Genomic DNA, 22,824 nt, shown 5'->3' with positions numbered 1-22,824 from the left:
ATGAAGATGTGGGGTTCTTTATTTCCCGACCGGCTGGGGCCTGGGAGGGAGGCAGCCACCAAGAGCCCTGACGGAGACTTATACTTAACTCCTGGCGCTCCGGGAGTGGGCACACGGAGGCCCAGAGACCTGGGAGGGCACACGAAGGCCCAGGGACCCGGGAGGGCACACGGAGGCCCAGGGACCTGAGAGGGCACACGGAGACCCAGGAGGGCACACGGAGGCCCAGAGACCCGGGAGTGGGCACACGGAGGCCCAGAGACCCGGGAGGGCACACGGAGGCCCAGGGACCCACGAGGGCACATGGAGACCCAGGGACCCGGGAGGGCACATCTCGTGCCAGCTTTCATCTTAGCATAGTCCCTTCAGGGCTCCACGCCCCCCCTGCACCCTGGGCCCACCAAGGCAACTCACCTGGGGCCCAGCAATGCCCTCTCTGCCAGGGAGGCCGGGGAACCCGGGGACTCCATCTGCTCCAACTTCTCCCTGAAAGGGTCACATGGAGGACGCAGGGCATTGGCCACACGCCCAGGAATGCAGGGACCCCCACGAGGAGTCCGGGGCACCCGTGGACGTGGCGATGGCCTGGACTTCTCTCTCTCACCCCTGTGGGCCTGAGCAGGGGCTGTGGAGGGATGGAGGAGTGGGGGAGGGGGGAGTCAGGGGGAGGGGGGAGTCGGGGGGAGGGGGGAGTCGGGGGGAGTGGGGGAGGAGGTGTGGGGGACGGGGAAGTGGGGGAGGGTGTGGGGGAGGAGGTGTGGGGGACGGGGAAGTGGGGGAGGGTGTGGGGGAGGAGGTGTGGGGCAGGGGGAAGTGGGGGAGGGGGAAGTCGGGGAGGAGGTGTGGGGCAGGTGGAAGTGGGGGAGGGGGAAGTCGGGGAGGAGGTGTGGGGGAGGGGCAAGTGGGGGAGGCAGTGTGGGGGAGGGGGAAGTCGGGGAAAAGGAGGGAGAGGCGGGAGGCCGGTGGCAGGGGCCGACGGGGCCTGCACAGCCAGACAGCCGGGAGGGAGGAAGGCCATGTTCCTGACGCAGTCAAACCTGGGGGTGCCCTGGGGTTGGGTGCCCTGCAGGTGGGTATCCTGGGGGTTGCCTTTGAAACCAGCACGTCTTCAATTATAAAGAAACAAAGCAGTGGCAGGAAGAGCGGGGAAGGCCGCCCCGAGCTGATCTCCGCAGGTGTCCGGCTGGGCCCTCCCTGCCTCTGCCTGGCCACGTCCCTGAACCCGGGCACAGCGCTTACCTTCGCCCCCGGCAGCCCAGGCACGCCAGGATCCCCCTAAGTGAAAAAAGGGGCTCCGTGAGCACCTGCTGGGGCCAGCCCAGTCCTCAGGCAGCGTCCACCCCGGGTGAAGGGAAGGGTGAGTTACCCAGGATGCATCTCACCGCCCTCCCCCAGCCCAGAGCCGAGGGGTCCCAGGGACACTGAGCAACTTGTGCAGGGACCCCGTGGGCCCAGGCTGGCTGAAGGCACCCGGCCGGGACGGCTGCGGAACCTGGGGACATATTCCATCACTAGGACTGCAGACTGCAAGAGGAACCCCGCTGAGACGGCCTCATTCAAACAATTTAAGAAAGCAAACACACGGCCCTTCCCATAAGTCAGCCTTTTGAGTGTCCCGATGTCTTGCAAATGAAAGCAAAGCTCAAAGGAGCAGGTGCCATGGCAGGGGCTGGTGACGCGTGAGAGTGCAGCCCCAGGGTGGGCCCCGTGCGCCCTTGGCCCCGCACGCAGCAGAGGACGCTTTGATGAGCACGCAGCGGGGTGAAAGGCGGCTGCTGCCCAGGGCCTAGGAGAGGAGGCTCCAGGCTCCCTGCTCAGGCACCTGCCCTGGGAGCTTCGGGGCCTGGGTGGGGTGGGGTCTTCGGGGCCAGGCTGGGGGCTAGTGTCCCCCAGGGATGGGGGGAGCAGAGGACAAAGCTCCTGGGTCCTACAAGGTCACCACGGCTCTGTCCCTGAGCCCAGGAGTCCACCTGTCCCTGAGGCTGAGGTGGGGACCCTGAGTTCTTCCCCTATGCCCCTCTTTTCGGCCCAAGTCTGAGAATATGCTTCAGGTGTGTGAACCCAGGAATCTTGATTCCTGGGCTTCGGAGAGAGAACGGGACAATGGCCCCTTAACGCTGGAAGTCTAGGTTGGGGTTGGTGTGCGATTATTTCCCTGTCAGGCTTTTTTGCTGTATTTTGCAAACTTCCCAGGATGAATTCATCCTACTCCTGCCATCAGAAAACCCGAGGCAAGGCCCTGTCTCCCCCAGCCCCAAGATGTCGAGACAGGGCCAAGCCAGCAACCACAGAAACCCAGACATATCCGTCACTGACCTTAAGTCCCGGCAGGCCGGGAGGTCCCTGTCAGGGCAGAGGAGACACAGTGTTAGTGCAGCTGGAGGCCCTGCTGTGAGATGCGTCTGCCGCAAGAAAAGCCCGCTAGTAACAGTCAAGACTTCAAAATACGTGTGTAAAAGGAAATGTACTAAGTTAAAATGGTAAAGCCATTCTAACTTACTATGGAATCAATTAGTTTCTGCCTAATTGAAATTTCTCATTCGTTTTGCTCCAAGTAAGAAATGTGTCCCAGCCACCCGTGCTCTCAACAGGCTGAGTCTCTGAGCATGAAGCTGGACGCTGTGGCTTCAGCCACCCCACGTGTCTCTTGGGCAGGGCTGTGGCCCCGGGGGCTCCTCCATGCTGGCGCCACGAGAGCGCTGGTGGTGTGGAGGGGACAGTGGGGGCAGGGGAGGAAGGAGCTTGTGGCCCCTGGGTCTGCCCCTGGCACGTCTGAGCTGTCTGAGCACAGTTGTTTTGGGATTTTGGTCACTCCTTGCTGGCTCTAACCCTGAGCAGTATACATGTTAACAGTAGAAGAAAGTGGAGATTTCATAGGAATTTCAGATTCTACTCAGGCCAAACATTTGTTACTACCAAAAATTGGGGCCACAAAAAGAATGTGATGACTTGAATTTCCCCAGAAAGGCCTTTCAGGGGGCATGCGGCCCCGTGTTCCTTTGTCTTGACCACTCACAGTGTCTCCCACTTTGCAGACCAGGCCCTCACCCCGTGACTTTAGTTCAATGAAGGGGCATCTCCGAAGAACAAGGGTGGCCCGCGGGGCACAGCGCCCGCCACACGTGGTCCTCACGGCTCTGCAGGGCGGCTTCCGATCCCATGCAAGGCCGGTGGCTCTCAGGGACACTCTCCTGCCCCAGGCAACACCCCCTTACCCCTCAGAGCCGGCCACGCCCAGCTCACAACACTACCTGTGGCCCATCAGCGCTTCGGGCTGTTGACCAGAAGGGCCCCCCGGAGCCTTCCATGTCATCCTGGAAGAGACACACGAGACACGTAGGGGCCTGTGTCCCTTCTTAGGGAAGGACCCCTCCCTGGGGTGGCACTGCCCGAGAGGAGGGTGGGACATGCTTTGGGGCCACGGTGGCCTGGGGAGCCGCCGTTCTCAGATGGGGACTGTCTACCTGGTGGCAGGGCCTGGGTGGAGCCCCCCCGGGGCAGCCCGTCTCGGGTCAGCTCATTCGCTCTTGGTCAGGGCACGGGTGCTGGGGCATGGCTGGGCCAAGATCCCCATCAGCACCGTGGGGCACGGGCGACGGGCGAGAGACTCGAGCCCCACCATGCGGAATATGGAATCCCAGGATGAGGCAGTGCCAGCAAGGCCACCGCCCAGGACGTGCTGCTCTGTGAGTGAGATGCCAGGGGTAGTAGGGCTGGGGCAACGGCAGCCCCCGGCTCTCCAGGGGGTCAGGTGTAGGCGGTACTCACAAATCCAGCGGGGAGTCCTGGTCCTGGGGGCCCAGGGGGCCCAGGGGGGCCTGGTGGTCCAGCAGGTCCGGGGGCTCCTGCCAGGCCGCTCTCCCCACGAGCACCAGCAGGACCGGGGGCTCCCTTGCTCCCCTGCGTGGGGTGAGGAGAGCGTGTCAGGACCCAGCCCAGCCCCCGCTGGCCCTGCAACCCCAGCGTAGACACGTTTTCTTATGATGCTTTCTAAACCCTGCAAATCAAAAGGTAAGGAACATTCTGCCAAGCAACGCAGGCCCCACAGCAGCCTTTCTTCTAACTTTACGACACGATTTCAGCCACACAGAAACACAACTGAGGAGAGAGCCACGGAGCCCGAACTTGGTCGGGGTTGGGCCCACATGCACAGGGGGAGGCCCACATGCACAGCGGGAGGTGCACAGGGCACCCTCGTTACCTCCAGCCCTGGCTCCCGGGCAGGCAAGGGGAGAAGAGAGGAGAGAGGAGAGGAGGCTCAGGACCCTGGGACCAGCCCTGGCTCCCGGGCAGGCGAGGGGAAAAGAGAGGAGAGAGGAGAGGAGGCTCAGGACCCTGGGACCAGCCCTGGCTCCCGGGCAGGCGAGGGGAGAAGAGAGGAGAGAGGAGAGGAGGCTCAGGACCCTGGGACCAGCCCTGGCTCCCCGGCAGGCGAGGGGAGAAGAGAGGAGAGAGGAGAGGAGGCTCAGGACCCTGGGACCAGCCCTGGCTCCCCGGCAGGCAAGGGGAGAAGAGAGGAGAGAGGAGAGGAGGCTCAGGACCCTGGGACCACTGGGGCTAGGGTAGACACAGGCATTGCGGTGACTCTATTAGTCCGAAAGCCGTGAGAAGCAGGCGAGCCCGGAGGCATGTGCTGGAGCCATCGGTGACCCAAGGCCCCAGCCACCTGGAGTGTGAGGTGAGAGCCCGGTGTGGGGGGCGTGAGGGAGGGAGGCCCTGAGGCAGGGGTCCCGCTGTGACGTGGCCCAGCTGAACCACCCCTCTCCTCGCAGCCACAAGCTCCCTGAGCCTCGGTTTCCGTGGCTGTAGACGGAGAGGCCCAGGGTTCCTTCCCAGGCTCGGGACAGAGCGGAATGAGATAGTGTGAGCCCAGCACTGTCCACAAATGGGGCAGGAATGTGACCCGCTGCCTTGATATGGTCACAGGCCCAGCTGGAGGAAGGAAACCCCCTCTGTGGGGAAGGGTCCTTCCTGCTTCCCATGTCCCCCACAGGGGCTGGGCCTCCAAGCCAGAGCTTTCCCCGCCCTCCACCCGCCAAGGTGATCCTCGACTGCCTCCTGTCTCCTCCCTTCTAGGTCTGGGTCTCCACTGCAGCCACCCTCCAACAGCTACGCTGGGTCTTAACAGGTGGGCACCATGTACCACCCACTTAACTTGAGGGCTAACTTCATGAGAATCTTAGATTTTACTTTCTTGGCTTTAATCTGTCTTAGTGCCTGGCATCCTTTTATCGTCTTTAAAAATCTAATTTTTTTTTCTTTTTGGACACAGGGTCTCGCTCTGTTGCCCAGGCTAGAGCACAGTGGCATGATTGTAGCTTACTATAGCCTTGAACTCCTGGACTCAAATAATCCTCCCACCTCAGCCTCCCAAAGTGCTGGGATTACAGGTGTGAGCCATCGTGTCCAGCCTCATCTAATTTTTGATCTTTAAAAAGTGCCTATAAAAAAGTTTGTTTAGGCCGAGTGTGGTGGCTCACGCCTGTAATCCCAGCACTTTGGGAGGCCGAGGCAGGTGGATCACCTGAGGGCAGGAGTTCGAGACCAGCCTGGCCATCATGACGAAACCCTGCCTCTACTAAAAAAAAAAAAAAAAAAAAAAAAAAAAAAATTAGCCAGGTGTGGTGGCAGATGCCTGTAGTCCCAGTTACTCGGGAGGCTGAGGCAGGAGACTCACTTGAAACCGGGAGGCAGAGATTGCAGTGAGCTGAGACTGCACCACTGCGGAGACTCTGTCTCCAAAAAAAGGTTTGTTGAAAACCTCTTTCTAATTTCATCCCTTTTTTCTTCATTTTCTATTTGGTTTACAATTAGGTTGTAGGGTTCTAGAATTCTCATTCATGTTACTTGACATTTTTGTTTTTTTAAAACTTTCATTATTTTCATACATGCATATCTAATTTTGCTGATTTTAAAGTTGATCAAAATATTCCTCCCCTGCTTAACTCAAAGCCTACATGTGTACGTGTATGCACACATACTAGAGACACAGATGTGCACACACACTACAAATACATGTGTGTGTACATATGCTAGAGAGATGTGTGTGCATGTGTGCTAGAAAAACGTGGGCACATACCTAGATACATGTGTGTGTATGTGCACATAAGAGATGCGTGTGCACATGCCCCAGATACATGTGTTGCACATATACACCAGATACATGTGTGCATGTATGCTAGAGATACACGTGCACATACATGAGAGCTGTGTGCACATGTGCTGGCTATGTGTATGTGCACATATGCTGGAGAGGTGCATGTGTGTGTGTGCACATATGCTGGAGAGGCGTGCATGTGTGTGCACACATGCTGGAGAGGTGTGTGTGTGCTCACATATGCTGGAGAGGTGTGTGTGTGTGTACACACATGCTGGAGATGTGTGTGTGCGTGTATGTGTGTGCGCACATATGCTGGAGATGTGTGTGTGCATGTGTGTGCATGTATGCTGGAGGTGTGTGTGTGCACATATGCTGGAGATGTGTGTGCCTATGTGTGTGTGTGCACATATGCTGGAGAGGTGTGTGTGCACATATGCTGGAGATGTGTGTGCCTATGTGTGTGTGCACATATGCTGGAGAGGTGTGTGCGCGTGTACATATGCTGGAGAGGTGTGTGTGTACATACGCTGGAGAGGTGTGTGTGCGTGTGCACATATGCTGGAGAGGTGTGTGTGTGTACATATGCTGGAGAAGTGTGTGTGTGTGTACATATGCTGGAGAGGTGTGTGTGTGCATGTGTACATATGCTGGAGAGGTGTGTGTGCATGTGTACATATGCTGGAGAGGTGTGTGTGTGCATGTGTACATATGCTGGAGAGGTGTGTGTGCATGTGTACATATGCTGGAGAGGTGTGTGTGTGCATGTGTACATATGCTGGAGAGGTGTGTGTGTGTATGTGCACATGCATTCACTCCCAGCCCATGTCCTCTCAGCCTCTCCAAGTGCTCTCACCACCTGACTCGCAGCTGTCCTCTTCCTCACTCCTCTCCCCACTGGCCTTCCTTCCCTCATCACCCCCATCCTGGAGCTTGGCCATGTTCTGGGGAAAGTTCCCCGTTAGTGCCAACCCCGTCCAGCCAAGGTGAGGAGCTCCTGACGTTTTGGACATGATTCGAGTGGGCGGCCCACGGAAGCCTGGATCCTCGAGGGCACCTCCGGGGGCGTCTGTGGTGGGGTCGGCACAGATGCCGACTGGAGGCCCAGACCCGGCTCCCAGCCCCTCCTCTGCAGGGTTCTAGCTCCTCCTCCAGCTCAATTTCCGCAGAACAGAAGGAGGAAGTGGGTCGTTGGGGGGGTGTCAGATAAATTGTCTGGTCAAGCAGGCTGTGGCCCAGACCTCAGGCTGCCCGAAGGAAGGCTGGGTCCATGGAGAGCAGCTGCCCCGAGTCCAGAGGGTCTGAGCAGACTCTGGGCCAGGCCAGGGCCGCCAAGGACACCCGGGCTGCCTTCAGCGCTCCTTCCGAGTGCCCCCAGATGCTCATGAGCCTGCGGGACGGGTGGATGGGGCTCCCCTATGGGGGGATGTTGGGGGGCCCAGCTCAGGGCCCTCCCCAGGCCACGGGCAGCCTCTCCACCTGCTGTGGCCCAGCCCCTCCTCCCAAAGCTCCTGGAGCTGCTTTATCGCGCTTGCCACACGGAGCTTGTTTCCAGATGAGCTCAGCTTCCAGGGCGCGTCTACTCTCAGTTCACCGGCAGACCAGAGCTCGGCGGAAGCCACATCACAAAAGTGACAAGGGCCGAAGCCACCTCGCCAGAGTGACAGAGGCTGCTGCCCGCGATTCCGGCAGGACGGATGGACAGATGGCAGGAGTGGGGGTCAAGGCCAGCCCCAAGAGAGCTCACTCTCTCGACCGTGGGGCTGCCACCCTCTTTGGGGGTCCGAGCACTGAGTGGGCACCAGGGGCAGGGGACTGATGTGCCAGGGATTCTGCTTGTACCTTATGTCCTGGGGCGCCTGCTTCACCCTGTACGGAAAAGAGCAGGATTATGACAAAATCAGACTTGCAGCACAGTGGACAGAGGAAGGCACATCGCCCTGCCAGGAACTGTGCCCCGACCCGGGTCCCTGCTTTGCTGCCTGTGCCGGTTTAATAGTTTCTGAGGCTGTTGCCGCTGTCATCCCCCCTTTCTGGTGTGGTTGGGGTCCTGAAAGGGAAGCCACAAGGGACGCCAAGCCTGGTCCCAATGCTGGACCTGGCTACACGTGGGGCCTGGGGCCTGGATGCCTCCCCAAGAAGGGCCCTTCAGCTCAGCCACAGGCTTAGAGCAGTGAGGGGCATTTACAGCCCGCGTCCCCTGCTCAGTCCAAAGCAGTGCAGCTCTCATCTGAGGTCATGCTGGAGACCGCTCCCCAGGGGGCCAGACGCAGGCGACTCCCGCCAGGTCCACCCACAAACGCCTGGGGCCCCGGCTCCTTGCGTCAGTCCGACAGAGGCTCATGGCCACTGCCCCGTAACCAACGTGGAAGCTTGGAGTAAGATCTCAGATCTCGCAGGGTGCCCATGTTCTTAAAACCCGTGAGTCCACTCATCATCACAGGGTTATGAATTTCTACCCAAGCCCCAGCCGCCCAGGTCAGGGTGACCTCCAGAGCGCGAGGCCCCAGGCTGTGGGGCTGTGATGGGGGGCTATTCCTGGCATTTCCCCTTCACGGGCGTCACCAGGCACCCCCGGACCCGGGCCACATGGTGTGGTGCTGGTTCCCACTCACCCTGGACTCGAGGGAAGACTTACCAGGCTGCCTTTCTGCCCAGTCCTTCCTGGGGGCCCCTCTCTTCCCGGAGGGCCTGGGGGTCCCTGGGGGAGAGCAGAGCATAGTGGGTCTTGATGGCATTCGGCCACTAAAACGATTTCTGGGTTAACAGGTTATCTGGGCTTCCGCAGGTTTCCAGAAGGCAGGACACAGAACGTTCCCCAGACACAGGGCCAGAGTCCCAGGGCTCACGGGAGACCCCACAGCCTGCGTAGCCCGCAGTTTCGCGGCCACATTGGCAGGATGAGATGGCAGAGCCGACAGCACCACGGCGGGAAGATGCTTGCACACCAGGGCTGGGGTAGCCGCTGCTCCCTCTGAGAGGCAGTCTGGCCACATGCGTGAATATGGATTAGGCATGTTCTTTAAGCCCAAATTCCCCTCAGAATGGATTCTGGGGAGCACTTGCCATGCGGCACCCAGAGAGGCCTCAGAGCCGATGGTGACGGTGAATGCCCATCGGTAGGGTTGGCTGGCTCAGGTAGGGACTGTTACGGAGGCAGGGGCATGTCATGGGTGACCTAACCCCACACTCCCTGCCCTGCACGTCATGGCATGCTACCGAGTGACCCCAGGCCACGGGATGCCAGTGCAGCATGACCCAATTACAGCAGCCACGTCTGCACCTGCTGCCAGTCATGACCTGCTGCCCATCATGTGTGGCACAGCTGGTGGGGCAGGCACCTGCTGCCAGTCATGACCTGCTGCCCGTCATGTGTGGCAGAGCTGGTGGGGAGCCTGCCGTGGGGACCTGAGACCCTACGAGCCGCGTTGGCCAAGCAGGCTCCTCCCTCCCCTGGCCCTCCAGCAATGCTGACCTCGGCCCTCCCACACCCACCCATGGGAATTGCTCATGGAGACGCTCTCTGTGCAGTCCGTGGACCCACAGGGCCAGAGAGGTCGGAGGCCTTGCTTGCGGTCACCCCCACTGGTCAGCACCCCTAGAACCATGGGGTGGCCACTCAGGTGCTTCCGCACACCCCAGGGTGGCCCCGAGTCAGCAACTGCCCGCCAGCTCCTAGAGGAGATGAGGTGAGGAGGCGGGGACTGGGGAGGCCTGAGGCGGGGCAGGGGCTCCCATGTGGGGTGTTCACCCCTCACTCCCAGCAGACAGGGCTCCCGACACTGACGGTGGAGGCAGGACTTACCGGGAGGCCAGGAAACCCGGGGGGACCCTCGCGCCCAGGCACACCAGGAAGGCCGGCGGGTCCTGGGACGTCGGAGCTGTTCACCCCAAAGCGGCCTGGCTCGCCGGGCAGGCCTGGGACACCGGGGGGTCCGGGAGGTCCAGGGAAGCCTCGAGGACCCTGGACGTGGGCGAACACAGATAGTCACAGCCCATGTGGCACCCACCAGGGATGACCACCACCCCCAGAACGGGCCTCATCCCCACCCCCCACAGGACCCCAGCTGAATCTTGGGGGTCCATGGCCTGTTCCTCATGGGCACAGACATCGGGCAGCGCTGCAGTTTAAGGGCCACTCACCCGCAGGGCCTCCAGATCGCCCCCGAAGCCAGATCCCTCCATGTCAATGAAGGTCTGAGGAAAAGAGCCGGAGAGACACGTTGCCCTGAGCTCGGCCCCCCGCCTGGCCTACTCCTGGCCCCTGCCCCGCAAGCTGCATATCGAGCTGTTTCTACAAGGAGCTGAGAAACCACGGCCCCTCTGCTGCCCCCAGAGAAGCCTGAAGGCAGGTGGATGGGGGCTCCCACCACACCTGTGACCCCTCAGCTCAGCCAAGACCCCACGCAAGCCCCTGAGGGTGGAGCTGATACTTCTGGGCCAGAGGCAGTGCCTGCTTTTGAGGAGGGCAGACCCCGGGTCGCAGGAAGCCAAGGGCGGGACTTACCAGCTTGTCGTGTCTGAAGGAGGGTCCTGGGGGCCCTGGAGGCCCTTGGGGTCCTGGGGGCCCTCTCTCTCCAACCCCAGGGTCTCCCTGGGAACACAAGACAAGCCTATCATACCCTGGGCACGCACACAGCCCCCACCTTGAGCCAAGGGCCAACACAGGAAGGGGCCCCACCCAGCCACGGAGACTCACCTTGTCGCCCTTGGGACCTACGTCCCCTGGAGTCCCGGGGAAGCCTTGTGGCCCGGTGTCGCCCTGGAACACAACATCCGGGGGCCCGGTCAGGGAAGGCACCACCATGGGCCGCACCCAGCACTCTCAGTGCTCCTCCCCCAAGCAGGGGACGGACGGGAGCTGAGCCCTTCAGGGGAGTCTCTGGGGCCCGGAAAGTACGAGGGCGCCAGGCCCAGCAGACTGTCTCCCGCCTGAGCCCATTTCGCCAGCCACGCCTGGGGGAAGCTGCGGGCAGCATCCCTCGGGAGGTCACAGCAGGTTCCCCGAAGGCCTCCACAACAGCTGGTGCTTGGGTGTTACATACATGTGTGTGTGTGTGTGGTATGCATGGTGTGTGTGTGAGGAGTGTGGTGTGTACATGTGTGATATGTATGTGTGATGTGTGAGTGTGCATGTATGGTGTGCATAATCCATGGTGTGCACATGTGTGCACACGTGGTATGTGTATGTGTGTATCCACGTGTGGTATGTGTAATGTGTGGTGTGTGTGCATGTGTCCACGTGTGATGTGTGCACGTGCGTGTAGCATGTGTGCATGCGTCCACCTGTGGTGTGTGTGCACACACGTGTGTGTAGTGTGTGTATGCAAGTGTATCCACGTGTGGTGTAATGTGTGGTGTGTGCACACATGTGTGTAATGTGTGTGCATGTGTCCACGTGTGGTGTGTAATGTGTGGTGTGTGATATGTGCTGTGTGTGCATGTGTGGTATGTGTACGTGTGGATCCTCACCCCCCCACACACACGCGCAGTCACACATTCACACACTCAAACACATGCACATACATACACACGTGTGTGTGCCCTGTGGGTGGGCCCCGTGGATCATCACCCCACACTCACACGCGTGCGTGTACCCTGTTGCAGTGGGTGGGCCCCGTGCCGCCCCCCAGCCGACTGTCCTTTGTCTGCCGTGGTCCTCATCGCAGGCAGCTTGGCTGTGGGGTGCCAGGCGGTCGGTAATGACCGTTCGGTGGGCACCATGAGATGCCCTCCCTGTCCTTTCAGACCTTCTAGACTGTTTTTAACTTGAACCCTCCTGTCCAGCGTTCGTGACGGCCCCACTTTCTGCCGAGTGTTACCATTTGCTGGGCAGGCTGTTCCCAGGTCTTTATTCGCAGTCGATCACGTCATTACTGTGCTTGGAAACGGTGTTTGCTGATTTTTAAAGACTGAACTGCGTGTTTTGCGACGAAGCTCGGACTTCACAGAGTCTCAGGTCGCCCCGTGCTTCCCTCCCCCGCCGACTTGCACCACCCCCTGCCCCGCCCGACTTCCTTTTTCTTTGCTGTGCGTCTTCCCTCTAAGGGTTTGGAAGCTCTGCCTTTTCTCACTTCCTTTCCTTCTTCATGGTAGTTGTGGCCCAAATGTCTCAACACAAATGCATAACTGCTATTTCCCATCAACAGTTACACTCATCTTTTCTTTACAAAATTCCACTTTCAAAATGGTTTTGCTGTACAGTCTCCTCACTGGGTCGCGTTTAAAAAGAGTGTCACTGGCAACAAAGCCCTGGGGTCTAAGCAAACATCACAGATAACACAGGGGTCAGAAAGAAAAGCAGACTCACCGGCTTTCCGTCTTCACCGGGGTCGCCCTGGGTGTGCAAGAGAAGCCATTAGTGATGGGAAATGACTCCTCCGGCGCCACCTACAGTGTCTACATGGAAATGCACCCCACGCTCCAAGTCCCCACGAGGCGGCAGACGCCTTCCCCCGATGTCCTCGCACCCGCGCCAGGAGCCTCCTCACACCCACAAGGGCTGTGTCTGAGCAGCTCCGCCTCCCACGTCTGACCACCTTCCAGCACCAACCCCGAGCAACGGTGGGCCTAAGGAGGCTGCTGACCTGCCCCGATCCCAGCTCAGCTCACTCCCATGTCGGCCGCAGCCTCTCCCCCTCCTACCCAAGCCCCCACCCTCCAGACCGGGCCGGACTCGGGGGGACGTGAGGACTCACCGGCTCGCCGTCCCTTCCAGGGGTGCCGTCCCTCCCCGGAGGCCCTGGGGGTCCTTGTGGTCCGGGGACAGTTTGCAACGCTGGGCCTGCAGGACCCAGGGGACTCACTGGGCACGGGAGACCCGGGGGACCAGGTAGGCATGGGGATCCTGGGGGGCCTGCCCGGCCAGGTGGGCCCGGAACACCTGGCTCCCCTTTCTGCCCCTTCAGGCCGCCCTGGGAATAAACAGAACACAGGGCTCGGGCTGGGGTGGGGCCCCACACACCCTGCCCACGTGTCCCGCTGCGCCCTCCAGAGTCCCAGGCTGGGCTGCTTCCCACAGTGGACACGCAGGGTGGACGCATGCTGGCACCGAGTGCTGGGCACAAAGGAGGCACGGGCACAGAGGGGCTTCATCAGGGCTCACCAGTGAGTGGCCCAAAAGGCCACAGGTGCTCTGGTTCAGAATGGTTCAGGAGCACAGGGAGGTGGCCTTACCTCTTTCACGCGGCCCCCAGGGGTCCGGACACTCCCGTCCCACGTGGAGACAGAATCTGAGCCAGGAAGTGTCTGAGCTGGGAAGAGAAGCAGAGGTGGCCACGGTCACGCCCCCCGGGTGGCCCCAGCTCTGCTCTCGGCACCCCAGACGGCCCCGGCAGCCCAAACGCTTTCAGTCCTGGAGCCCGGCTGGACACTGTCAGATCCCCAGCCTCAGGCCGCACTCCCCTGAGCTCCAGCTCCCAGGCAAAGGCAACAGGGAGACAGAATTTAAAATCAACAGTGAGGCCGGTGTGGCCATCTAAGCCAATGACAGCTGAAGTCTGGGAGATGCTTCCTGAATTTGTTACAAGAGACCCTGGCCCCCCAGAATGCCTTCTTATCACCCAGCATGCTTTGTCCCTTTTCCTTTTTCCCTCTTAACTTTTACTTAAAATAAAAATGAAAACCAACAGAAATCCTGCAAGAGAAGCACAGTGAACACCCAGAGCCTGTACCCAGAGCCACCATCCGGGCCTCGGCATCTCCCCACCTGCCACACACACACACACACACACACACACACAAAACACATAATACACATCACACACATGTACATTACACATGCACATCACACACATACACACAATACGCACACTACACATCACATACAACACAACATGCACTGCACACCACACACGTACACTACACGCAACACACACACCACACCACACACAATACACACACCACACACTGCACACACACATGCCCACATGCATGCACCATACACACTACATACACATCACATAAACATCACACATGTCACAAACATGCACATCACACACCACACATCAAACACCTGCCATATATTTCACACAAACACGTGCCATATCACACACACATGTACCATATACACCACACACTACACACACCATACATCACACACATACCTCACCATCACACAAACACACGTTACACACCACACACACCCCACACCACACACACACCACATCCAGAAAAGAGCTTACCTCCTAACGAAGCCACCGTGGTCTGCTCCTCGACTTCTTCACTTCTGGAATCTTCCGTGCTGCTGCCTCCAGCCAAGGGTGGCGTGGTGACGGGGGGTGGCGCGGGGAGCCTGGGTTTTAGGGCCGCGCCCTGGAGGACGAGAGGGGAGGTGGCCTGTTATTCGGCCGGCAGATGCCCGGTGGAGACTTGCTTGGTTTGTGAAATGAAATACTTAAGATCGCAAGAAAGATAAAGAAAAATCCTCTGAAACAGGAGGGTGCTCCAGGGCCGTGCGCGAGGGGCTTCCTTCCGTGGGCCGCAGGGGTGTGGCCGCCTGTGGGCTCCCCGGCTCCCCAGGACCCAGGACCGCGCCTGCCGTCACCACAGAGGCCTCCCGGCGCCCGACAGGCCATGCTGGGAAGCTGATGTGAATCTGCAGAGGGTCCCCGCAGGGAACACGTTCCCGCACCCGTCTCTCACGGACAGCACCGCGCCTCAGTCCCGCGGCTGGGGCCTCCCCACTCCCCGCCCCTCCTGTGTTTTCTCAGGTGGCCCGAGCTGGGGAAAGCCTTCCGCGCGCTCCCTGCGCCGCCTTCTCCTCCTGGTCGTCAGGCTCACACACGCGTTCATTCCCTGATGGCCACGCACGAGCTAACGGAGGGATGGGGCGAAGGGAAGGCCAAGGTTGCCTCGAAGACCAAGGAGTGTGCAGGGCAGGACCTCGTTTTAAAGGAATATCCTCTCACCAGAGACACGCGGCGGCCAGGCAGGGCCGGAGCGGGGCCTGTGCCCAGGCTCCGAGCGTCTGCCCAGCCCAGCATCCCTGTCCCCAGCCAGGAATATGTCTTCGTGGCATAGAGGGAGCTCTTGGAGCCACACCTGCGTGTGCACATGTGTCACCCCACTGCTGGGAGGGGCTCTCCCGGGACCCTGCAGCGTGGGCTGGGCCCCGTCCGGCTACTCACCGTCTCCTCCCTGAGAAGCTCCCGGGCGTCCCCGAGCCCGCTGCCAGAGTCTCCGGATGCCTGAGGAGTTTGAAAAGGGAAAGGCTGGAGAGATGGCAGCCAGGCCAGGCCCCGAGCCCGGCAGGCCTGGGAAGCAAAGGACGCTGCTCTCGCCTCCTCCAGGCCCCCTCTCGCCTCGTCCAGCCCTCTCTGGTGCTCTCCGGGGGGCCGCTGGGGTGGGCACGCTGGCCTTCCCTGCCCAGGCACCATCTGAGCTTCAGTAAGTCGTGTCCAATCGGGTCGAGGACAGTGACGCTTCTGAACCTGCCTCGGCCGGTGGTCAGACATGCGGAGGCGGGAGGGGGAACGCGCTCCTCTCTTCTGGCCAGAGCCCTGCCCTGGAGGAGGCCGCACCGCAGATGCTCCCCGCACAGGTTTCCCCAGCGCACGCCCGGCTGGGCCGAACACGCGCCAAGGCGGCTGGATGTTTTAAACTTCAGGAAAACCCGGAGGAGAAACATCCTCAGGGACCGCTACTGACCCCTGAGGGCAAGACAGGCCAGGGGAGGGGTGCGGCGCCTCGGCGACCCCCCGCACCCAGCAAGCTGTCCCAGGGCGCAGCCTTGTCATGGCCGCCATGTGAACGATCTGGCGTCTTCTGGCATGTTCCAGGCAAAAACAACGGGCTTATTGGGCAAAATAAAGAAAAAGCATGAAAGTAACATGGATGTTCACACACTGCCCACAGTCCAGCCACGGTGTCTCCTGCCCACGCCCCCAGGAGCGAGGCTGTGGGTCCACGTCCACGGCGTCTCCTGCCCACGCCCCCAGGAGCGAGGCTGTGGGTCCATGTTCACGTGGGGCATGTTGTGATCTGGGCCCCTGAGTGAGAATTCCCTGCTGTTCCTCACACCTGGGGCTGGGGGATTCTCCCCTTGGGTACCACGTGATTCCACACACCCCACCAACACACACGCCACACAACACACAGACACAGACACAGAGACACACGCACCATGCAGACATGCAGACACAACACACAAGACAGACACACCACAGAGACACACCACACACACAGAGACACACCACACACAGAGACACACTACACACAGAGACACACCACAGACACACACGACACACAAGACAGACACACCAGAGACACACATACAACACACACAACACACAAGACAGACACACCACACAGACACACACACATCCACACACAACACACAAGACAGACACACCACAGAGACACACCACACAAGACACAGAGACACACCACACAGACACAGACACACACACACACTTTGCTGAGCTGCCTCACATCCTCTGTCTCACCAGCTGCCATGGAGGGTGGTTTCTGGTGTTTATATCATGCTTTGTATTTGTTTTTATGGGAAAGTTCAGGGCAAGGAAGGGCTCTGAGGTGCTACAGGAGAGCACAGAAATGGTATCGCAGCTTCCCAGTGCCCCAAGTGGTATATTTTGGGACTTTTCCTGTCATAGACCTTGGCCCTGAACTCCGCGTGCCAGGGATTGAGGGGAGACCCCACCCGTGCCCCAGATGTCACTCACCCCATCTGAGTCATCGCCTTCCTCGTCCAGGCAGTGCATGGGGCTCACCTGGGGGTCCCTGCGCACCTTCAGCTCAGCGATCACCCCCTAAATGCAGACAGAGAAAGGGGTCACCAGCGGTCCTGAGGTGGCAGTGGCAACCCCGGTGCTGCTTGAGCTCCAGATTTCGGGGGGCCCACAAAGGGCAGGAGAGTCTCGGAGAGGGAAGGGGTCTCGGGCAGCCTCCCTGGGGGTGCGGTATGCCTCATGGTAGGAAGAAGTGGTGAGACCCAGGGGCGTCCTGGGCGCTTTCATGTGGAAAGCACCCGGCTGGGCGGAGGCTGCTCCCTCAGACTTGGCTCATCTGAGGCAGCTGATGGGCCACCTGAGGGCTACGGGTTTAGAACCACAGCAGGTGTGGCTCGATCCAAGGCCTGGGAGGGCGGGCAGATTCGAGGGGCTGCAGGTCAAGTCCCCCAACCCCAAGTCCCGGGAGCTTTACGCAAGCACCAGGCGGCCTCATCTCCCGACTCGGACCAACCGAGGTGGCACCATGGCTTTGCTTTCTTTGAACTTCACCTTTTCATCAAAAACAAAACCCAGAAGCCAAGGACAGAAACGCCGCAGATGTAGGGGAGTTTCCTGGATCTCTGCGCCCATTCCGTCCGGACCCAATCTCACTCACTCACCCACCTACCCACCGCTCCCTCTGGCATCTTCAGTCCTGGGCTGAGTGCCAGGGTGCCTGACCCTGCCCTCTCGGGCCCTGGCGCGGCCGGCGGTGCCTGGTGAGATGCAGGCCGGGGATGCTGGGCAAGGACACAGGAGGGCGCAACGTCCTAAGCCTCAAGCGGGTAGCTTGCCTGGTGGGGAGAGGACGCTGGGAGGGGCTTTGACAGGAAAAGGGGCTGCCAGGTGGGGGCTGCGCACAGTACCAGGGGCTCCACTGGCCGCACTGCGGGTTCTGCATCCTGGCCTAGATTTCAGAGCCAAGCGAGGCCAGCTGGAGCCTGGGGCTCCCCATGCCGGCTGGGCCCCCAAAGCCCAGGCAGGTGGCTCAGGAGTGGGGCTGAGCCTGCAGGACGGGGTGTGAGTGCTGAGTGTGTGGGCACATGTGCGTGAGAGCATGCATCTGCATGGACACATGTGTGCAAACATGAGATCACGTATGCACGCGTGTGAGCTCATGCGTGGGGGGGTGTGGACCCTGTGGGCCCCCTGGGTTTCCCACAGGTTTCCCACAAAACGCACCAGCGGTTCTCAGCCTCACAGAGCGCACCAGCGGCTCTCAGCGTCACACTGCGGGGGAGGGCGTTGCCTACAGTGCCCCCAGGTCGGCCAGGGGCAGCACCGTGGGGTCCAGGGTCCACTGTCCACCAGGACCTACTGCGTGGGGGTGGGGCAGCAGCCCAGCAGCTGAGCCTTCACATTCAGGAGCCCCCAGGTCAGGCCCAGGGAGGAGCTGGGGTTGAATTCTAGAAAACTGCGCTTCGGCCGGGCGCAGTGGCTCACGCCTGTAATCCCAGCACTTTGGAAGGCCGAGGCGGGTGGATCACAAGGTCAGGAGATTGAGACCATGGGGAAACCCCGTCTCTACTAATAATACAAAAAATCAGCCTGGCCTGGTGGCGGGCGCCTGTAGTCCCAGCTACTTGGGAGGCTGAGGCAGGAGAATGGCGTGAACCCGGGAGGCAGAGCTTGCAGTGAGCCGCAATCGTGCCACTGCACTCCAGCCTGGGCGACAGAGCGAGACTCCGTCTCAAAAAAAAAACAAAAAAAAAAAACTGCGCTTCTCCACTGGGGCAGCCCGGGCGGGGGGTGCATCTTGGGTGGTCTTGGTGTCGGGGAGGGACTGGGCATTCCTGACACCCGATCCCCACACAGACATGCACTGTCCAGAGAGGCCCGTGAGGCCCTGACCCCCCCACAGGTGGCCACAGCGCTCTCCTGAGAGTGCCCCCGAGGGGCCGACGCCTCCTGCACGGGGCTACAGGGTGCCTGGGTGGGGGGCGACTACAGAGGGCAGAGAAGCTCTGAGCCCGTGGTGGCCGCTGGCTCCGGGGGTGGGGCAGGAGGCGCTAGTGCAAAAGCCACAGGCCCATTGTAAATATTTAAGGGACTTCGGACTGAAAGTTATGAAATCCGGAGACACCTGAAACAGAGCTCACAGGAATTCTGTGAGGGAAGAGCATGTAAAATGCTTCCCGACACGCTGCAGCCTCAGCGCCCTGGAAATCAGGACACAGCTGGAAATCAGGACACAGCTGGAAATCAGGACACAGCTGGAAATGACGTTCAAGGCAACGGCAGCAGCTGGGAGGGGTGCATGATTTCCCGGGAGACGACCACTGACAAACCTGACTCAAGAAAGTGAACCTGAAAAGACCAACAACGCCCAAGGACTCTTAGGACGAGGAACACAACCAATGCTCCGGAGGGCTCTGTTGGACCCAGCTGCGGCCGGGGGTCCCAGGCACCATCTGTGGCAGCGCCAGGGTCGATGCAGTCTTGTGGAGAGGCTGAGGAGGAGGAAGCCTCGGTTTCCTCCCTGCTCCCAAAGCTCTGTGCTTGTTTCTGCCAAAAATTATGAGTCACACAACTTGAATGTTTCTTTCCCAAGTATCTCAATTCAGAAGTCTGAGAAAATCTTGTGCTGAACAAGTCTGTCTTCTTTTCTACCACACAAGCATGCTTCTCCTCTCCCCAGCTGGAATCTCATCTAAGACCCAAAGAGAAAGTTCCTGACACCTGAGGCCTGCAGGGACCTGACACAGAGATCAACCAACACAGCCCTCAGCACACGGCCCATAGCGCGCCACCCACGCCCAGCAGCACACGGCCTGCTGCACGCCACCCACGCCCAGCAGCACAAGGCCCGTAGTGCGCCACCCAGGCCCAGCAGCACACGGCCCGTAGCGCGCCACCCAGGCCCAGCAGCACAAGGCCCGTAGCGCGCCACCCACACCCAGCAGCACAAGCCCGTAGCACGCCACCCAGGCCCAGCAGCACGAAGCCTGTAGCGCGCCACCCACGCCCAGCAGCACACGGCCTGCTGCACGCCACCCACGCCCAGCAGGGCCCCAGCCCAGGGCCAGACCCAGGGCCCTCTAGCTCCCTCCTGTTCCAGCTCTCTGACCTTCCAAGGTTTCACTGGGCTGTTGTAAGTCATGGTGTCTTCTCCAGGCCAGATTTAACCACATAAACACATCAAATCCCAGCTGGGTGCAGTGGCTCACGCCTGTAATCCCAGCACTTTGAGAGGCTTAGGCGGGTGGATCACCTGAGGTCGGGAGTTCGAGACCAGCCTGACCAATATGGTGAAACCCCGTCTCTACTAAAAATACAAAAATTAGCTAGGCATGGTGGCAGGTGCCTGTAATCCCAGCTACTTGGGAGGCTGAGGCAGAAGAATCGCATGAACCTGGGAGGCAGAGGTTGCAGTGAGCCGAGATCACCCCATTGCACTCCAGCCTGAGCAACAGAGCGAGATTCCATCTAAAAAAAAAAAAACAAAAAAAAAACCCACAAAAAAACCACACATCCAATCCCAATAGTCAAAAAAAAAAAAAAAAAAAAAGACAAGGTAAAAAGGCAAATGACATGGTAGAAATAAAATCTGCAGCATGCAAAACCAAAGAGAAGTTTCTTTTAAAGATAAGGAGTTTGTATAAATCACTGAGAGTTGGGCCCATTGAAAACCACAAAGAACATAAACCGGTCAGTCACAAAGGAAGAAATACAAACAGACAATAAACAAGTGACAAAATGAAAGTCTATCTTCACAGTCCAAGAAATGCAAAATTAAACACCCAGACCCCCTCTTCCTACACACGGGACTTCGCTGATGAGGAGGCCCTCACCGCAGGGCGGTGGCCCGGCTCTCCCTAGCACCATCGGGGCACAGCTGTGCACCCACGTACCGAGCTCTCGGCACTCAGCCGCTTTTCCTAACAGTGTTAAAGATGTACGGCACTTGTGGGCCACTTTATTCCACCAAGAAACGGCTGGGGACTCACACAACAAATTGCCTCTCACTGGAGGGGGTGACTCTGACTTCTTTCCCGGTAATCATGTTTGTGATCAAGAGGAAAACAAAGAGGCCCAGTTTGGTGTCAACGTCCTAGCGGCTCCTGAGCTCTGAGGGTTAAAAGTTCCTGCCAAAGGTGAAAAGTCAGCTTTCAGAACCCCCAGACACCAGGACTTAGAACAACTTCAAACAAACAGCCCTTGTCTGGGCAATAATTAACCTTCTGTCCCCTGCGGCCCGCCAGGGCAGGGGCGTCCAGCTGCAGGCCAGCTTGAATGCTAGAATTCAGGGACTTGTGAGACAGTGCCAGCTGAGGTCACCCACGTGGCTGTTCCCAGCCAAAGGTTCCCAGAAATGCAGGGGCTTTGGACACAGACCCCACATGGGTTTAGGGATCTGTCCACCCCCCCAACCCCAAGAAATGAAGGCCCACTGGAGGGACTTCCCGGAGACTCAGGTGGAGGCGGCCACGTGCGTTCACCGCTGGGGGACTCCCACCACGTGCTCCAAAGTGGAGTCTCACAGGCGTGGGTTGCTGCACCCTTTGTTAAAGGTGCTGACCTGCAGGGCCGCCCTGAGCCCCTGGTCCCAGCGGGTGTGCAGCTACCACAGGAGAACCCTGCTGGGATCAACACCCTGCTGCCGCCAGCTTTGGATCGTTCATCGTTTTCAACAAGGACCCCAGCTTTCATTCTGCATGGGGCCACGAGGCGTGTGGCTGGGCCTGGACTCGGTCCCCACTTACCCGACCGGCCGGTCAGAGGCCGGGAGCCCCACTTCACCACAGGGCTTGGCACAGGCCTGGGGGTGTCTCTGGGTCACGGGGTCACGGCTGGGGTGGATGTCTAGTTACAAAGTCGTTCAAAGAGGGCCCTCCTGGGCTGGGCCTCGGGGTCTCAGAGAAACCATGGAAGCCCAGGGCTACCCTTCCTGGGGGCGCAGGAGCCAGAGAGCCAAGAAAGTGAATGCCACCCCAGCCAGGCCGGCCAAGAACCCGGGAGGCCTGCGCCGGAGGCCAGGGCTGAGCAGCCAAGAACCCAGGAGGCCTGCGCTGGAGGCCCGGGCTGACCACAGCTGGGGTGGGGGCTCTCCTCTTCCGGCCACAGCTCCGTCCCTGTCCCAGTGGCCACCCCCACCCCACCCCATCCCAGCTGCTCCAGTCCCCCAGCGACGGCACAGTGGGGGTTACCTGGAACTTGTCAGGGTCCGCTCCCCCCGCCTGAGCCACGAAGAGCCCGGCGCCAGGCTCCAGCTCCAGGCCCCGTGAGGACCGAGCAAGCGGCATTCTCTGGAACTCCTCACAGTCCACGTAGAGGGCCACAAAGCCACCTGCCACACTGAGGGCTAAGTGTGTCCACTGGCCGACGAAGGCGGGGAGCCGGAAGCTGGCGGCTGTGTGGGTCTGGCCTGCACCTGGTTCTGTGTAGAGCAGGGAGATGTCCTGGTGCCCGTCCTGCACCCCAGAGAGCTTCACGCCCAGCAAGACCATGGCCTGCGCCGAGTCCGTGATGGCGAACAGCACCCCTGGGCCCTCTGTGGCTGGCCGGATGTGGAACAGCAGTGAGAAGTCACGGAAGAAGAGGCTGGGGAAGTGGTACCGGGCCACTTGGCCACTGTTGGCATCTGGCCCAAAGACGTAGGCCAGCCCGACGTCGGGGTCATCCGTCTGGGTGACCTGCTGGGGCGGGGGGTCCCCAAGGAGCTGCAGCAGCCCCACCTCCTCGCTGATGCGCTCTGCAAAAAGAAAGACAGCTGGTGAGGTGGCTGTGCAGGACGGAACCAGGGGCCACCGACGCGGCCTGGAGAGGCAGCCAGGCAGGGGCAGAAAGGAGAAACTGAGTCTGGGAGGGCTCTCCACGTGCCTGGCAGCCTGCCCTGATCCCCTGGGCTCAGCCACCCAACGGCCACCCTGGTTCACTCATTCCCAAACGACAGGCAGGCTCCATGCAGAAACCTGTGTGCAGGGGACATGGTGTCTGCAGGAGACATGGTGTCTGCACGGGACATGGTGTCCACAGGCCCCCTTCCATGCTTTGAGC

The 22,824-nt window shown here is 60.0% G+C and overlaps 1 protein-coding gene and 1 non-coding gene across 4 annotated transcripts in view, besides 3 other annotated features; both read right to left on the bottom strand.

Annotated features, from left to right (window-relative positions):
* COL18A1 (collagen type XVIII alpha 1 chain) overlaps positions 1–22,824 on the bottom strand; it is a 108,556-nt gene that overhangs the window by 22,960 nt on the left and 62,772 nt on the right. For all 3 annotated transcript variants that reach the window (NM_001379500.1, NM_130444.3, NM_030582.4), the window contains 18 exon segments: positions 21,975–22,519; positions 16,780–16,866; positions 15,226–15,285; positions 14,281–14,410; positions 13,274–13,350; positions 12,796–13,011; positions 12,408–12,434; positions 10,797–10,859; positions 10,605–10,691; positions 10,241–10,294; positions 9,903–10,061; positions 8,736–8,798; positions 7,940–7,966; positions 3,769–3,900; positions 3,252–3,314; positions 2,317–2,343; positions 1,240–1,275; positions 415–486 (listed from right to left, as the gene is read on the bottom strand). In NM_001379500.1, coding sequence (NP_001366429.1) covers positions 415–486; positions 1,240–1,275; positions 2,317–2,343; positions 3,252–3,314; positions 3,769–3,900; positions 7,940–7,966; positions 8,736–8,798; positions 9,903–10,061; positions 10,241–10,294; positions 10,605–10,691; positions 10,797–10,859; positions 12,408–12,434; positions 12,796–13,011; positions 13,274–13,350; positions 14,281–14,410; positions 15,226–15,285; positions 16,780–16,866; positions 21,975–22,519 — 1,925 coding nt within the window.
* Positions 1,473–2,003: an enhancer, noted in NCBI's record as "NANOG-H3K27ac-H3K4me1 hESC enhancer chr21:46908672-46909202 (GRCh37/hg19 assembly coordinates)". NCBI's record gives its function as "activates a minimal SCP1, AML or CMV promoter by ChIP-STARR-seq in naive H9 embryonic stem cells {active_cell/tissue: H9 hESC(naive)}" and the evidence as "EXISTENCE:reporter gene assay evidence [ECO:0000049][PMID:30033119]".
* On the bottom strand, positions 12,435–12,495 carry MIR6815 (microRNA 6815). Its single transcript, NR_106873.1, has one exon. It is a non-coding gene; the product is annotated as a microRNA 6815 (primary transcript).
* Positions 15,413–15,913: an enhancer, noted in NCBI's record as "H3K4me1 hESC enhancer chr21:46894762-46895262 (GRCh37/hg19 assembly coordinates)". NCBI's record gives its function as "activates a minimal SCP1, AML or CMV promoter by ChIP-STARR-seq in primed H9 embryonic stem cells {active_cell/tissue: H9 hESC(primed)}" and the evidence as "EXISTENCE:reporter gene assay evidence [ECO:0000049][PMID:30033119]".
* Positions 19,706–19,925: an enhancer, noted in NCBI's record as "active region_18590". NCBI's record gives its function as "activates an Ori minimal core promoter by ATAC-STARR-seq in GM12878 lymphoblastoid cells {active_cell/tissue: GM12878}" and the evidence as "EXISTENCE:reporter gene assay evidence [ECO:0000049][PMID:35858748]".

The sequence above is a fragment of the Homo sapiens genome, chromosome 21 (genome assembly GCF_000001405.40).
Source record: "Homo sapiens chromosome 21, GRCh38.p14 Primary Assembly".
Lineage (NCBI taxonomy): Eukaryota > Metazoa > Chordata > Mammalia > Primates > Hominidae > Homo > Homo sapiens.
This window is presented reverse-complemented; position numbering and strand designations above follow the sequence as displayed.